The sequence below is a fragment of the Homo sapiens genome, chromosome 14 (genome assembly GCF_000001405.40).
Source record: "Homo sapiens chromosome 14, GRCh38.p14 Primary Assembly".
In the NCBI taxonomy this organism is placed as follows: Eukaryota; Metazoa; Chordata; class Mammalia; order Primates; family Hominidae; genus Homo; species Homo sapiens.
This window is the reverse complement of record NC_000014.9, coordinates 73990824-74006842: the sequence shown is the minus strand read 5'-3', so window position 1 is coordinate 74006842 and position 16019 is coordinate 73990824. Positions and strand designations below refer to the sequence as shown.

The 16019-nt window shown below is 44.4% G+C and overlaps 1 protein-coding gene and 1 pseudogene across 14 annotated transcripts in view, besides 1 other annotated feature; one reads left to right on the top strand and one right to left on the bottom strand.

The window, feature by feature from the left end:
- Positions 1-16019, top strand: part of ENTPD5 (ectonucleoside triphosphate diphosphohydrolase 5 (inactive)) — a 63960-nt gene that overhangs the window by 12446 nt on the left and 35495 nt on the right. For 4 of the 14 annotated variants that reach the window (NM_001330189.2, NM_001321984.2, NM_001382257.1 and 1 more), the window contains one exon: positions 10067-10193. The exons of 9 other annotated variants lie outside the window; for them this stretch is intronic. The gene's annotated coding sequence lies outside the window, so the exon portion shown is untranslated. Of the gene's footprint in view, positions 1-2117; positions 2239-10066; positions 10194-16019 lie in introns of all 14 variants that reach the window. One more of the 14 variants, NM_001321986.3, reaches the window with a different exon arrangement.
- Positions 3062-3487, bottom strand: RPL41P4 (ribosomal protein L41 pseudogene 4; annotated as a pseudogene).
- Positions 14000-14501: an enhancer, noted in NCBI's record as "H3K4me1 hESC enhancer chr14:74459045-74459546 (GRCh37/hg19 assembly coordinates)". NCBI's record gives its function as "activates a minimal SCP1, AML or CMV promoter by ChIP-STARR-seq in naive H9 embryonic stem cells {active_cell/tissue: H9 hESC(naive)}" and the evidence as "EXISTENCE:reporter gene assay evidence [ECO:0000049][PMID:30033119]".

The following is a 16019-nucleotide window of genomic DNA, read 5'->3' as shown; positions in this document are numbered from 1 at the left end:
GAGACTGAGGTGGGAGGATCTCATGAAGCCAGGGGTTTGAGACCAGCCTGGGCAACATAGCAAGACTCCATCTCTATAAAAAATTTGAAAATTCACTGGGCATGGTGGCTCATTCCTGTAGTCTAGCTAGTCAGGAGGCTAAGGCAAGAGGATCATTTGAGCTCAGGAGGTGAAGGTTGCAGTGAGCTGTGTCTGCACCACTGCACTTGAGCCTAGGTGATAAAGCAAGACATCTTCTCATTTAAAAAAAAAAAAAAAAGGGCCGGGTGTGGTGGCTCACACCTGTAATATCAGCACTTTGGGAGGCCGAGGCGGGCGGATCACGAGGTCAGGAGATCGAGACCATCCTGGCTAACACAGTGAAACCCCGTCTCTGCTAAAAATACAAAAAATTAGCCGGGCGTGGCGGCGGGCACCTGTAGTCCCAGCTACTCGGGAGGCTGAGGCAGGAGAATGGTGTGAACCCGGGAAGCGGAGCTTGCAGTGAGCCGAGATTGTGCCACTGCACTCCTGCCTGGGCAGCAGAGCGAGACTCCGTCTCAAAAAAAAAAAAAAAAAGGCTTGGCGAGGTGGCTAATGCCTGTAATCCCAGCACTTTGGGAGTCCAAGGTAGGTGGATCACCTGAGATGATCACCAGCCTGACTAACATGGAGAAACCCCGCTTTGTCTCTACTAAAAATACAAAATTTGCTGGGCTTGGTGGTGTATGCCTGTAATCCCAGCTACTTTGGAGGCTGAGGCAGGAGAATCTCTTGAACCTGGGAGGCAGAGGTTGTGGTGAGCCAAGATCATGCCATTGCACTCCAGCCTGGGGAACAAGAGTAAAACTCCATCTCAAAAAAAACAAAAAGGTATTTAAATTTCTTTTCACCTTTAGAAACAAGAAGTACATTGTGTGAGTTGTAGTTTTTCTGACTTTAATTCTTTTCCTTAAGTAAAATATTAGGACTATAACAGAAGATGGAAGTTAAAAGTCAAGTCAGCATTGTTGTTCATTTTGTTTGTTTATTTGTTTTGTTTTTTATTTATTTTTTTGAAATGGAGTCCTGCTCTGTCTCCCAGGCTGGAGTGCAGTGGCATGATCTCAGCTTACCGCAACCTCTGCCTCCTGGGTTCTAGCGATCCTCCTACCTCAGCCTCCCAAGTAGCTGGGATTACAGGCGTGCACCACACACCCAGCTAATTTTTGTATTTTTAGTAGAGATGGGGATTCACCATGTTGGCCAGACTGGTCTTGAACTCCTGACCTCAGGTGATCCACTCCCCTCAGCCTCCCGAAGTGCTGGGATTACAGGCGTGAGCCACCGCACCTGGCCAGTTGTTCATTTTTAAGAGTTAATAGCAGCCGATGTGATGGCTCACACCTGTAATCCTAGCATGTTGAGAGGCCAAGGTGGAGGATTGCTTGAGGCCAGGAGTTTGAGAGCAATCTGACAAACATAGTGAAACCCTGCCTATATTTCTTTTCTTTTTTTTTGAGACCGAGTCTTGCTCTCTCACCCAGGCAGGCATGAGCCACCACGCCTGGTTTATTTCTTTTTTTCTTTTTTTCTTTTTTTCTTTTTTTTTTTTTTTTGAGACTGAGTCTCACCCTATCGCCCAGGCTGGAGTGCAATGGTGCGATCTCAGCTCACTGCAACCTCCATCTCCCGGGTTCAAGCAATTCTCCTGCCTCAGCCTCCCGAGTAGCTGGGATTACAGGCATGTCCCATCATGCCCAGCTAACCTGGCTTATTTCTATATATTATTTTTTTCTAAGAATAAACAAATGAACAAAAACAGTTAATATCATTGGAATAACATGCAGGTCCTAAAATAAGAAGTATGTAAGATGTGTTTATTGAAATATATATATGGTATACTGGAAAAAAAACCCCACAAAATATTACACAAATACTGGTTACAGCTTACAGTAGCCAGCCTCCAAGATGCCCCCCAGTGATGCTCACCTCCTAATATTCATGCCTTTGTGTAGTCCCCTTTTACAGTTCGTCAGGGTTGGTCTGTATGAGCATTAGAATATAGGGATATGATAGTGTATGACTTCCAAAACAAAGTCATAAAAGACATTACTGCTTCTGCCCTGCTCTTCTTGGATTGACTGCTCTGGAGGAAGCCAGCCACTGGGTTATAAAGACATTCAAGCAGCCCTATGGAGGATCTACACGGGGAGCTACTGAGACTTCCTGCCCACAGCTGGCATCAACTTGCCAACCATTGAGTGAGCCATCTTGGAGGTGGGTCTTCCAGGCCTAGTCAAGCCTTCAGATTGACTGCAGCCCCAGCCTACATCTTGACTGCAATCTCATGAGAGCCTCAGAGCCAAAACTGTCTAATTAAACCACTCTCAGAGTCCCAAACCACAGAAATAATGAGATAGGCCGGGCGCAATGGCTCACACCTGTAATCTCAGCACTTTGGGAGGCCAACGCAGGTGGATCACCTGAGGTCAGGAGTTTGAGCCTGGCCAATATGGCGAAACCCCGTCTCTACTAGAAATACAAAAATTAGCCGGGTGTGGTGGGGGGTGCCTGTAGTCCCAGCTACTTCGGAGGCTGTGACAGGAGAATCACTTGAACCCAGGAGGCAGAGGTTGCAGTGAGCCAAGATCACGCCACTGCACTGCAACCTGGGCAATAGAGGGAGACTCTGTCTCAAAAAAATAAAAAAGGGATGAGATAATAAATATTTTTATTGCTTAATACATGTATTTATTTACTTAATTAATTTATTTTTTGAGACAGGGTCTTGCTCTGTCACCCATGCTGGAGTGCAGTGGCATGATTCTAGCTCACTGCAGCTTCGAACTCCTGGGCTTAAGTGATCCTTCTGCCTCAGCCTCCCAAGTAGCTGGGACTGCAAGTGTGCACTGCCATGCCTGGCTAATTTTTTCATTAAAAAAAAATTTTTTTTAATAGGGTTTTGCTGTGTTGCCCAGGCTGGTCTCAAACTCCTGGGCTCCAGTGATCCTCCTGCCTTAGCCTCCCAAGTGTTGGGATTTACAGGCATGAGGCACCATGCCCAGCCAATTTTTTTTTTCTTTTTTTCTTTTTCTTTTTTTTTGATTCTTCAGCTAAGACAGCAGAAGAGATGATTTATCGTATGGTTGTTATACTCGGCCACAAGTAAACACAGAAATAGTCCAGAATGTCCCAGGTCCAGGGCAGAGGACCAACATGGGCAGTTTTGGTTATGAGCAAGGTGGGTCTCAGAGGTGATCAGCGATCAGAGGGCGGTGAAGTTCTGGATCCATTGAGACAAGCTCTACACAATAGCATGCAGTCCCACAACTTGTACCAGCATCCCCAGCATCTGGCATTCCATGTTTCTGCTCCTGTGTGGCCTCCACGGTGCAACAAGCTAGCGGTTTACTTGGACCTCTGCCTCATCTTTCTTCTTTTGTGCTTCAGACTGCACATTCGCTTTTTCCTCCACTTAGCTCTCATGATGCAGAGGTTTCCAAGAAAATGGCGCTAAGGCTGAGAGAAACCCTAGCCCATTTCTATTGTCAGTTTTTATTGAATTCCACCTTGGACGCTCTTCTAGGTTCTTGGGTTACACCAGTAAACAAAAAGATTTCTGCTCTTGAGGAGCTTATATTCTATCAGAGGAACACAGACAATAAATATCAGTAAGCTTTCCAGTATGTTAGAATGTGATAAGTGGTGTGGAAAAAAGAAAAGTGGATCAGAGTAAGGGGAGTTGAGAAAGCAGGTAGAGGTGGGAGCATGTGAAGGTGAGAGGTTATAGTATTAAGTAGATCTCAATAAGAAAGTGATTTTTAAACAAGTATTTGAAGGAGTTGCAGGAATTCATCAAGTGGATATATAGGAAAAGAATTTCTAGGCAGTGGGGACAGCTTAGAGCGAAGGCCCTAAGGCAGGGGCATGAGTGAATAAGCGCAGAGGTCAGTGTTGGGGGAGAGTAAGGTGAAAACTATTAGTAGATGGGGTCAGAGATGTAGTGGGGATGGAAGCAGAAGGCTATTTTCAGGACCTTGTTTCTCTGAAATGGGGAGCCAGTGCTGGATTTTGCATAAAACAGAGACATACTCTAATTTATATTAAAGGATGACTTTGGTTGTTTGTTAAAAGGAGACAAACTCCAGGGGAGTGAGGATAAAAGCAGGAAGATCTGTTAGGACAATATTAGCAAATCACATGAAAGATGATAGTGGCTTGGGCGAAGGTGGTAGCAATGGAAGTGGTCAGAAATGGTCGGATTCTGGAAATGTATTCAACAGCAGGAAATTAAGATCTTCAAAATCTCTTGATTAGCTGGGCACAGTGGCTCAACCCTGTTATCCCAGCTATTCAGGAGGCTGAGGCTAGAGGATTGCATGAGGCCAGGAGTTCAAGACCAGCCTGGGTAACATAGTGAGACTCCATCTCTACATAAATAAATAAATAAGCTCTTGATTTTATGTAAGAAGGTCAGACTGCTGTAAGACTTTCACATCCTGATGGAAGTCTCACTTTCCAGCCTCATCTCAGACCATTCTCTGCTCTACACTCGCCTCCCCACTCCCATATCTGTCTTTTCCAAGAGCCCTGTTAGATAATCCTTCTTGGGTGGCCTACTAGTTAAGACTGTGGCTCTGGAATTAAACCATCTGGGTTTGATTTCTGGCTCATTTCATTTAACTACGATGTGGTCTTAAGATACTTAGTTTCTCTAAGCTCAGTTTTCTCATTTATAAAATGGGAATCTTAATAATAGCACCTAACTCACAGAGCAGTAATGTGAGATTAAATGAGCTAATCTATGTAGAATACTTAACATCATGCTTGGCATCTACTAAGATCTCCGTAAATATTGGTTACTATTTTTTTAAAATCTCAGATTATGTTTCTTTGACCACAATCTTTATCCTCTGCATTAAATGCTAACCCTCTTCTTCTATATCCTCTTTCACTAGTTTTCTACTTTTTGTTTCTCAAATTCATATAAAAAATTCTTGAGGACATTGGCTTTTAATTATTATTATTTGAGACAGGGTCTCACTCTGTCGCATAGGCTGGAGTACAGTGGTGCCGTGCAATCACAGTTCACCTCAGCCTCCACTTCTCAGGCTCAAATGATCCTCATACCTCAGCCTCCTGAATAGTTGAGACTACAGGTGTGTACCACCATGCCTGGCTTTTTTTTTTTTTTTTTTTTTTTTTTTTTTTTTTTGAGATGAGGTCTTGCTCTCTCGCCAGGCTGGAGTGTAGTGGCATGATCTCGGCTCACTGCAACCTCCGCCTCCCAGGTTCAAGCGATTCTCCTGCCTCAGCCTCCCGAGTAGCTCGGACTACAGGTGCCCGCCACCATGCCTGGCTAATTTTTTTCTTTTTTTTTGGGATGGAGTCTTGCTCTGTTGCCCAGGCTGGAGTGCAGTGGTGCAATCTCGGCTCACTGCAAGCTCGGCCTCCCAGGTTCACGTCATTCTCCTGCCTAACCCTCCCGAGTAGCTGGGACTATAGGCACCCGCCATCACACCCAGCTAATTTTTTGTATTTTTAGTAGAGACGGGATTTCACCGTGTTAACCAGGATGGTCTCGATCTCTTGACCTCGTGATCCGCTTGCCTTGGCCTCCCAAAGTGCTGGGATTACAGGCATGAGCCACTGCGCCCAGACACACCCTGCTAATTTTTTAATATTTTGTAGAGATAGCATTTCACTATGTTGCCCAGGCTAGTCTCAAACTCTTGGGGTCAAGCAATCCTCCCACTTTGGCCTCCCAAAGTGCTAGGATTACAGGCATGAGTCATCATACCTGGCCTCGCTATTTTTAATTTTTATACGGATAGGGTCTCACTGTGTTGTCCAAGCTGGACTTGCACTCCTTGGCTGAAGTGACCCTCTTTCCTCAGCCTCCTGAGTACCTGGGACTATGGTCACGTGCCACTCCATATGGCTCTTGAGGAAATTTTTAAATGAAATCAAACGATACTTTTCCTATCATCTTTTTCTAATCTCTCTGGTCTTTATACACATCTGGTCTCTATTATTTCTGTAGTTATTTCTGTCCATTTTTCATGATTGCTTACATGTCATTTCATTTTTTTTGTTGTTGTTTTGAGACAGGTTCTTGCTCTGTTGCCCAGGCTGGAGTGCAGTGGCATGATCTCGGCTCCCTGCAGCCTCGCCTCCCAGGTTCAAGCAATTCTCCCACCTCAGCCTCCTGAGTAGCTGGGATTACAGGCACACCACCACGCCTGGACAATTTTTGTATTTTTAGTAGAGATGGGGTTTCACCATATTGGCCAGGCTGGTCCTGAACTCTTGACCTCAGGTGATCCACCCTCCTCGGCCTCCCAAAGTGTTGGGATTACAGGCGTGAGCCACTGTGCCCAGCCATTTCTTTTATATATGCTTATATATATATTTTTTAAATTGAGACGGGGTTCAGTCTTGTCACCCAGGCTGGAGTACAGTGGTGCGATCTCAACTCACAGCAACCTCCACCTCCCAGGGGGCTCAAGCAATCCTCCCACCTCAGCCTCCCAAATAGCTGGGACTACAGGTGCATTCCACCATGCCTGACTAGTTTTTGTATTTTTGGTGGAGATGAGGTTTCATCATGTTGCCCAGGCTGGTCTCGAACTCCTGAGCTCAAGCAATCTGCCTGCCTTGGCCTCCCAAAGTGCTAGGATTACAGACGTGAGCCACTGTGCCTGGTCTCAAATGTCTTTTCTTGATGCGTTTCCAAATCCTCTAGGGAGTTAGTCCTGTGTTTTTGTTCCTTTACCTTTTTTTTTTTTTTTTTTGAGATGGAGTCTCGCTCTGTCGCCCAGGCTGGAGTGCAGTGACGCGACCTCGGCTAACTGCAACCTCCGCCCCCTGGGTTCAAGTGATTCTCCTGCCTCAGACCCCTGAATAGCTGGGATTACAGGTGCATGCCACCATGCCTGGCTAATTTTTAAATTTTTGGTAGAGATGGGGTTTCATCATGTTGGTCAGGCTGGTCTGGAACTCCTGACCTCATGATCCGCCCGCCTTGGCCTCCCCAAGTGCTGGGATTACAGGTGTAAGCTACTGCGCCCGGCCCTTTACCTTTTTTTTTGAGACGGAGTCTCGCCCTGTTGCCCAGTCTAGAGTGCAGTGGCTTGATCTTGGCTCACTGCAACCTCCGCCTGCCAGGTTCAAGCAATTCTCCTGCCTCACCCTCCTGAGTAGCTGGGATTACAGGCACGCGCCACTGCGCCTGGCTAATTTTTGTATATTTAGTAGAGACGGTTTTACCATGTTGGTCAGTCTGGTCTCAAACTCCTGACCTCATGATCCGCCCACCTTGGCCTCCCAAAGTGCTGGGATTACAGGAGTGAGCCACCGTGCCCGGCCTACCTTTGTTTTTTTTGGGGGGGTGGGGGGCAGAGTCTTACTCTGTCACCCAGGCTGGGGTGCAATCCTGTGATCTTGGCTCACTGCAACCTCTGCGTCCTGAGTTCAAGCAATTCTCGTTCCTCAGTCTCCTGAGTAGTTGGGATTACAGGCGCATGCCACCACACCTGGCTAATTTTTGTATTTTTAGTAGATATGGGGTTTCACCACGTTGGCCAGGCTGGTCACGAACTCCTAACTTGAGGTAATCCACCCACTTTGGCCTCCCAAAGTGCTGGGATTACAGGCGTGAGCTACTGCGCCTAGCTTCTTTACCATTTTTATGCTTAGTTTAAAAAGTTACGGTTATTTTTATATATGTCTGCCACCTCTGCCAGACTCAGCATCTTGAATAAAAAGATCTGTTTTCCTCACCTTTACTTTTCTGGCACCTAGCAGTTAGTAGGCATCAGTAAGCATTAGTAGAATTAAGCAATTGAGTGGTCCTGACAAGGCTCCTGACTGCAGTCCTTACATGTAACTACCAGATTCGTATTTGGATACTCCCTAGTTCAATATCTTCAGTGGCTTCCTATCACCTGCAGAGTAAAGTCCAAACTCCTTAGCTGAGTATTTGGTGTCCTCTACTATGTGACCTCAATCTATCTCTTCAACTTTATTTTCTACTATAGTTGGTCAAACTGATCCATTCACTGTTCCTCAGGGGCCCCCATCCCTTTTCCACATCCGTGTCTTGATTCATGGTTTTATTCCTGAAAAGCACTCCTTGCCTGTCCTAATTCATTTCCCTCCTCAGGACCCTCCTCAGATACGACCTTTTTCACAGAGCCTTCTCCATCATCCCAGCTTTGAAGTTTCAGAGCATAGTAACTGTGCTGCTTGACACATTTTCACTTTATAGAGGTAATTTATGGACATGTATTTTTTTTTTCCAACTTAGTATAGTTTCTTAGGGTTTCTTAAAGTTTCTAAGATGATTTATCTTTGTGTGCTGTACTTGTAAGCAGCAGTAAGAAATTGCTAATTTCTGGAATGGCTGTCACTGTCGGTTACTACAGGTTGAATGAAGGGGACAAACGCAGAAATGAAGACAAAGACAAAAGGATCTGTTTCGAAAGAAGGGGTCAGGGAGCTCCTTGCTTCTAGTGAGCAAAGGCAGCCCTGAGCTTCTACCGCCCTTCGTATTTATTAGATAGAAAGAGCAGGGAGGGAGAGGTAACAGTTGGTCAGCTGCTAGATTTATCACAGGTACACATAATTGCTTTCTTTGTACAACAGGCTTCAGATGCTCCTATAGATAATTGCAAGGAACACTGCGCTGGGGGTGTGACTGCCCTCAGCACCCCTTCTGGTGGCAGACGCAGTTTGTCAGTTTTCCAACATCCTGCTTTCATGAGAACAGTTTTCTGTTTGCTCATATAACCTCCAATGGCATACTGAGTTGGTCACGACCCTCATTCTTTCTGCCTGTAACACATGGCCAAATGAATGAATGAATATAGGAACAAATAGGCTTCACATGCCCTATCCATGGTCTAGTTTGGAGGGGAATTGGGAGTTGGACATGTAATACCTAGGCCGTAGTGGAACACTGGGAAAGGGGGTACTCCTTGCCCTATTGCTTCTGCCTGCATATTCCATTAGCCTAATTGTACCAAGTCCATTTGGGATTCAATTACTGGTGTCCAGCATGTTCCAGGCCTAATATTAATACCTGTCTTTGGTAATACAAAAGATACCATGCACCACCCACCTTAGACATCCTTCAGATAGCAAGGTGTGTCAGGGCTGTGGCCCTTTGTATTATAAGTTATATCCTCAAATAAGGCATTGCTCACTTTGCTGCAGCCTGTCCTGAACTTAGCTTATTAGACCTACCTTGGTTTTGCTTGGCTTGGCTTACTTATGCACTGGGTGGTTTAACTATATTGGTTCCATAGTTCAGCTTACTGTTTAAAAATTTCATTCTAGTTACATTTTAAACTTGCCTTATGTTTAATTTTTAACTTGTTAAGGCTAGCTTTGCTGTGGAGCTCAGATGAATTGTCAGTGGGAGCTTTTACATTTCACTCTTTTTGGACCTTTTGGTGGACCTTTCTAATCACCTATCCAATTTTCCACTGTTGTGAGATACTGTATTATTTTATCCAAGTCAATCAATAATGATATTTGCTTAGGGAGTCAACAGAAAGACATAACTAACAATCAATCTCACTATGGGAAAGGAAAACAAGTCCACTCCTTTTGAAATCTGATTCTCTGCTTCCAGAGCCATTTTCCCTCACTCTGGCTGTCTTTATTCTGGTACACCTCTATATTCCAGCTGTACCAAGCTGTTAATACTTGAAGTTCTCAGAATCCTCCTTGTGTCATTTTCCCAGGATAATTCCTACCTCTCATCCCTCAAGAAGCTTCCCAGTCCCATCCCACCTTCACCTTTCCCCTTCCAAGCCAAGTTTCTTGTCCCTTATGTCTGTTCCTAGAGCACTTTGTGTGCATTTCTGTCAGAGAACTTATCACAGTACATTACAGTCGTTGGTTTGCTTGTCTGGGTTTTGTTAGTTTGTTTTTTGAGACAGGTTCTTGCTCTGTAGCCCAGGCTGGAATGCAGTGATATAATCATGGTTCATGCAGCCTTGACCTCTTAGGCTCAAGCGATCCTCCCACCTTAGCCTTCTGAGTAGCTGGGACTACAGGTGCATGCCACCATGCCCAGATAATTTTTTTATTTTTGTAGAGACAGAGCTTCACTGTGTTGCCCAAGGTGGTCTTGAAATCCTGACCTCAAGTAATCCTCCTGCCTCGACCTTCCAAAGTGCTAAGATTACAGACAAGAGCCACTGTGCCCAGCCCTGTTTTCTCCAGTAAGCTGAAATTTCTTCTATATCGGATTCCTCTGTATATATCAAGAATCTAGCACAGTGCCTGGTATATATTAGATACTCAGTACATGCTTATTAACTAGACAGGTGAATGCCCAGGTTTCTAAAGTTTTTTTTTTTTTTTTTTAAGAGACCAAGTTATGTTCCATCCAGGTTTCTAAATTCTGTGTCAGGGATGGAAGGTATTGAGAAGTGCTATTAACTTTTCTATTTGGCTAACAAAAACACAGAAATGAGTTGCTGAGCAGCTTCCGCCCTATGAGCGATAATCCTACTAGTTGGAAGTTAACTATGATAAAAGTAGATGAACGAATTGTGTACTCAGAGAAAAAGAGAGTAAGGGAGGAGGGAAGGATAGAGAAGGGAGTGAGTTAGCAAAATGCCACACTGTTAGTTGCAAACTGGCACAAAGGTGAATGCGGTTCATGAGGCTCGCTTGATTAAGAAGAGCTGAAACAGGAGCAAAGAGCAAAAGGCAACCTGCAGCGAAAGCAAGGACTCAGGGAACCGGCAGACACAAGCAGGTGAGCACATGAATGGGGCCCAGGTCCTCTGGGATTGTGGTCTCTCAGGCTTCCGGGGACATGGAAGAAGGGAAGCCAGAGTGTGACGTTCTGGGAAAGCTGAGTGGGGAGGATTCATGTCTACTCCAGGTATAAAGAGACACAAAAGACCATAGAAGGAGATGGAGATAGTGACAAACACTGGCTGGCACCAGAGTCTCAACAAAAAGAATTGGAAACAGGGCTTTGTTGGGGGGTGAATAAGAGATAGTGAGCAAGAGAAAATGAGAAGACCAACTGTGAAAGGAGTAGATTTAAATGTACTGACGTATACATACCTCCCTAGTCTACAAAAAGTACGCCTATCTGCACTATTTTGAGTAGCATATAAAACTTGACACATTTGGATAAATGTCACCTTTATATAACAAATGTGGGGAAAACCTTCACTGAAGCTTGGAATTGTGATTTTTTTCAGGGGCTGGGTAATTTTTTGGAAAGCAGTCAGCTATTATTATTATTATTATTATTATTATTATTATTTGAGATAGAGTCTCTCTCTATCACTGAGGCTGGAGTGCAGTGGCACACTTAACAGGCGTGAGCCACTGTGCCCGATCAGCTGTTACATTTTTATTAAATGGGTGAGATCTAGTGCCTGAGTTACTGTATTATTGTTTATCCCTTTGGAGTATTCATTCAACATCTACTGTGTGCTCACACCACCATTCCAGCACCAGGAACACATAAAAAACAAAACAGATAAAAATTCCTGCTTACGGGCCAGCCAAGGTGGCTCATGCCTATAATCCTAGCATTTTGGGAGGCTGAGGCGGGTGGATCACTTGAGACCAGAAGTTTGAGAACAGCCTGGCCAACATGGCAAAACCCTGTCTCTATTAAAAATACAAAATTAGCCAGGCGCGGCGGCACATGCTTGTAATCCTGGCTGCTTGGGAGGCTGAGGCATGAGAATCGCTTGAACCCGGGAGGCGGAGGTTGCAGTGAGGTGAGATTGCACAACTGCACTCCAGCCTGGGTGATAGAGCAAGACTCTGTATTTAAAAAAAAAAAAAAAAATTCTGCCTGGCTATGTATAGTTCACATAGTGGGTAAAGGTGGCAGGAAACAGGAAATATGAAAATAAACAAAAGTAAATTATATAATGTGTTAGATGGTAAAAAGTCCTGTGGAGAAAAATAAACAGAAAAGGAAGATAGGAAAACATGATGTGGTCAGATGGGTTATAATTTTAAATAAGGTAGACAAGGAAGGTCTCACTGAGAAGCTGACATATTTGAGCAAAGATTTTAACATAGTGAACGAGCAAGCTGTGCAGACTCGGGTTCTGTAAAATAGGATGTCATTCTATAAATGTAAGACTTTTTTTTTTTTTTTGAGATGGAGTCTCGCTCTGTCGCCCAGGCTGGAGTGCTGGTGCAATCTTATCTCATTGCAACCTCCGCCTCCCGGGTTCAAGCGATTCTCCTGACTCAGCCTCCCAAGTAGTTGGGATTACAGGTGCCTGCCACCACGCCTGGCTAATTTTTGTGTTTTTAGTAGAGATGGGGTGTCACCATGTTGACCAGTCTGGTTTCGAACTCCTGACCTCATGATCCACCCACCTCGGCCTCCCAAAGTGCTGGATTACAGGCGTGAGCCACTGCACCTGGCACATTAGTTATTTTAAAATGGCTTACATTGCTCGGTGCGGAGGCTTGTGCCTGTTATCCCAGGACTTTGGGAGGCTGAGGCGAGTGGATCACCTGAGGTCAGGAGTTCGAAACCAGCCTGGCCAACATGGTGAAACCCCATCTTTACTAAAAATACAAAAAATTAGCCAGGTGTGGTGGTATGCGCCTGTAATCCTAGCTTCTAGGGAGGCTGAGGCAAGAGACTTTCTTGATTCCAGGAGGCAGAGGTTGCAGTGAGCCAAGATTGCACCATTGCACTCCAGCCTGGGCAACAGAGTGAAACTCCATCTCAAAATAAATAAATAAAGTTTAAAAAAATAAGACAATGCCTAATGCCATTTTAAAATAACTAATCTTAAAAGTGCGATTGCAAGTGGTTTAGAATGTAGTTACTGAGAGCTGAAAGGGGCATTCTATTTGTTCATCCTTTGCTTTCTCTAAAATCTATTGTTTGGTTTTACACTGAACAACTAGTATGACTCTGCAGGGTTTTTTGTTTGTTTTTTTTTGTTTGTTTTTTCGTGAAAACAGATACCTAGGATGTTTTTTTTCACCTTTGAAATCTCTGGAAGAAAAACAAATATTTACTTAATAGAAATAGAAGCTGGAGAAGTTTTTCAAAAACTACAATGATATATTAATACAAAATTTGGGTGACCCCTGAAGAAACTGCAGTCACACAGAGGAAGGAAAGCTGCTGCCTAGAATGCCATTAATTCACTTTCTGAGGGAAAAGAGGGACCCAGAGTTGGACAAAGCAAGGATCTGTTAACACTCAGAGACTCTGAAGAGTTGTTTCTGTTTCGAGTTATTTAGTTTGATCTACATGTCTAGCTCATTTGCTGTAAAAGAATCAGCCAGAGTGTGAACCTGGCCAGGCAGCTATCCTGTATCAGTGGTTGATTTCCTGGGATGAAGTTTCCTTTGTTTGGGATTGTAAAAGGTCAAACAATTTTGTCTGTTCCTCTCCTAACCAATAGCTCTTATTCTTAACTACAGGATAGAAGTTCAGCCTTGAATAGTGTTCTAACGGATGGTTCCAGCTCTGCTTTGGTAGTACCTAAGACCAAATCTAGTTATTTTAAATATTTTATTTATTGAGACAGGGTCTCACTCTGTACCTAGGCTGAAGTGCAGTAGTGCAGTCACAGCTCACTGAACCTCAACTTCCCGGGATCCAGAGATCCTCCCACCTCCAGCTTCCCAAGTAGCTAGGACCACAGGTGCATGCCACCACGTCCAACTAATTTTTGTACTTTTGGTAGAGATGGGGTTTCATCATGTTGCCCAAGCTGGTCTCGAACTCCTGACCTCAAACAATCCACTCACCTTGGCCTGTCGAACTGCCGGGATTACAGGCATGAGCCACTTTACCCAGCCTAAATATTTTAAAATTCCAAATATAGTTAACTTTGTTTTATGTATTTATTTTGAGATAGAATCTCACTCTATCTCTCATGCTGGAGTGCAGTGACACAGTCTCAGCTCACTGCAACCTCCGCCTCCCAGGTTCAAGCGATTCTCGTACTTCAGCCTCCCAAGTAGCTAGGACTACAGGCCTGTACCACCATGCCCGGCTAATTTTTGTATTTTTAGCAGAGACGGGGTTTCGCCTTGTTACCCAGGCTGGTCTCGTACTCCTGACCTCAAGTGATCCGCCCGCCTCGGCCTCCCAAAATGCTGAGATGATAGGCGTGCGCCACCACACCCAGCTGCAATTAACTTTAATTTGCTTTTTTTTTTTTTTTTTTGAGACGGAGTCTTGTTCCGTCGCCTAGGCTGGAGTTCAGTGGCACAATCTCCGCTTGCTGCAGCCTTTGCCTCCCAGGTTCAAGCAATTCTCCTGCCTCAGCCTCCCTAGTAACTGGAGCGACAGGCATGCGCCACCACGCCTAATTTTTTTTTGTATTTTAATAGAGACAGAGTTTCACCATGTTGGCCAGGCTGGTCTCAAACTCCTGACCTCAGGTGATCTACTCACCTCAGCCTCCCAAAGTGCTGGGATTATAGGCGTGAGCCACCACGCCTGGCCTAATTTGCTTTATTTTGTGTAATATGTCACCTGTGGGGAGGGAGACATTTTGATAAACCCTAGATACTCAACAAAGTTGAGATGATTGAGAATCCTTAATCTGTACTCCAAATATACGAAGTATTTTGTTAGAGCTGAAGGGCCTGGGAAATGGGAACTTTAGAATCAGATCTTGTCACTTAACCAGTAAACTATGACTTACATAAGAGATCCAGAGATGAAAGCTGGATCAGAAGACCCAAAACTGTTTGGTGCAAAGTACATAAAGTGCAAGTCAGGAAGCTTTACCTTAGAGGATAGATACGGCATTATTCATTAATACCGGAAGAAAATGGCAGAGAAAACGTTTATATACATACATATATATGAAAATATTTTATATATATATATACTTTTTTTTTGTGAGACGGAGTTTCGCTCTTGTTGCCCACGCTGGAGTGCAATGGTGCAATCTCAGCTCACTGCACCCTTCACCTCCCGGGTTCAAGTGATTCTCCTGCCTCAGGCTCCCGAGTAGCTGGGATTACAGGCTATTTAAAAAAAAATTTTTAAATAAACATAAAATTAAAATACATAGAATATATTTTATATGTAAATATACAGAGCAGGAAAATTAGCCAGCAGACAGCTGGCAATGTCTGGAGACGTTTTTGGTTATCACAACTGGTTGTGGGTGGAGGGGCGGGATGTGCTATTGACCTCTAGTGGATAGAGGCTGGGGATACTGCTAAACATCCTACCTTACACAGGACAGCGCCCACATCAAGCCCTAATTGTTTTTTTTTTTTTTTTTTGGTTATTGTTTTTTTTTTTTTAAGACAGATTCTTGCTCTGTCCTCCAGGCTGGAGCACAGTGGTGCGATCTTGACTCACTGCAGCCTCCGCCTCCCGGGTTCAAGTGATGTTCCTGCCTCAGCCTCCTGAGTAGCTGGGATTACAAGCATGCACCACCACAACTAACTAATTTTTGTATTTTAGTAGAGACGGGGGTTTCACCACGTTGGCCAGGCTGATCTCAAACTCCTAACCTCAAGTGATCCGCCAGCATTGGCCTCCCAAAGTGCTGGGATTACAGGTGTGAGGCACTGCTCCTGGCCCCTAAATGTAAACAGTGCTAAGATTAAGAAACCCTGACCTTGAGGAACTCCAGTTTTCCTTTACGGATGAGATCATAGGACACAGTCTGAGCTTTGCAGGAGGCCAGATACAAATCACCAAAACAAAAAGCACTTAATTGTTTTTGTTGGTTTCTCATTTAATGTCCATCCAGAAAAAAAGAGGGGGAAAAAAGTTGCTAGTAAAGCAACTGTGAAGTATGGATGCCATTATTCCATTCAACACTACCAAGTGATTTTTTGTTTTTGTTTTTGTTTTGAGACACAGTCTCACTCTGTCGCCCAGGCTGGAGTGCAGTGGCATGGTTTCGGCTCACTGCAACCTCTGCTTCCCGGTTTCAAGCAATTCTCCTGTCTCAACCTCCTGAGTAGCTGGGACTACTGGCGCATGCCACCATGCCTGGCTCATTTTTGTATTTTTAGTAGAGATGGGGTTTTACCATATTGGTCATGCTGGTCTCGAA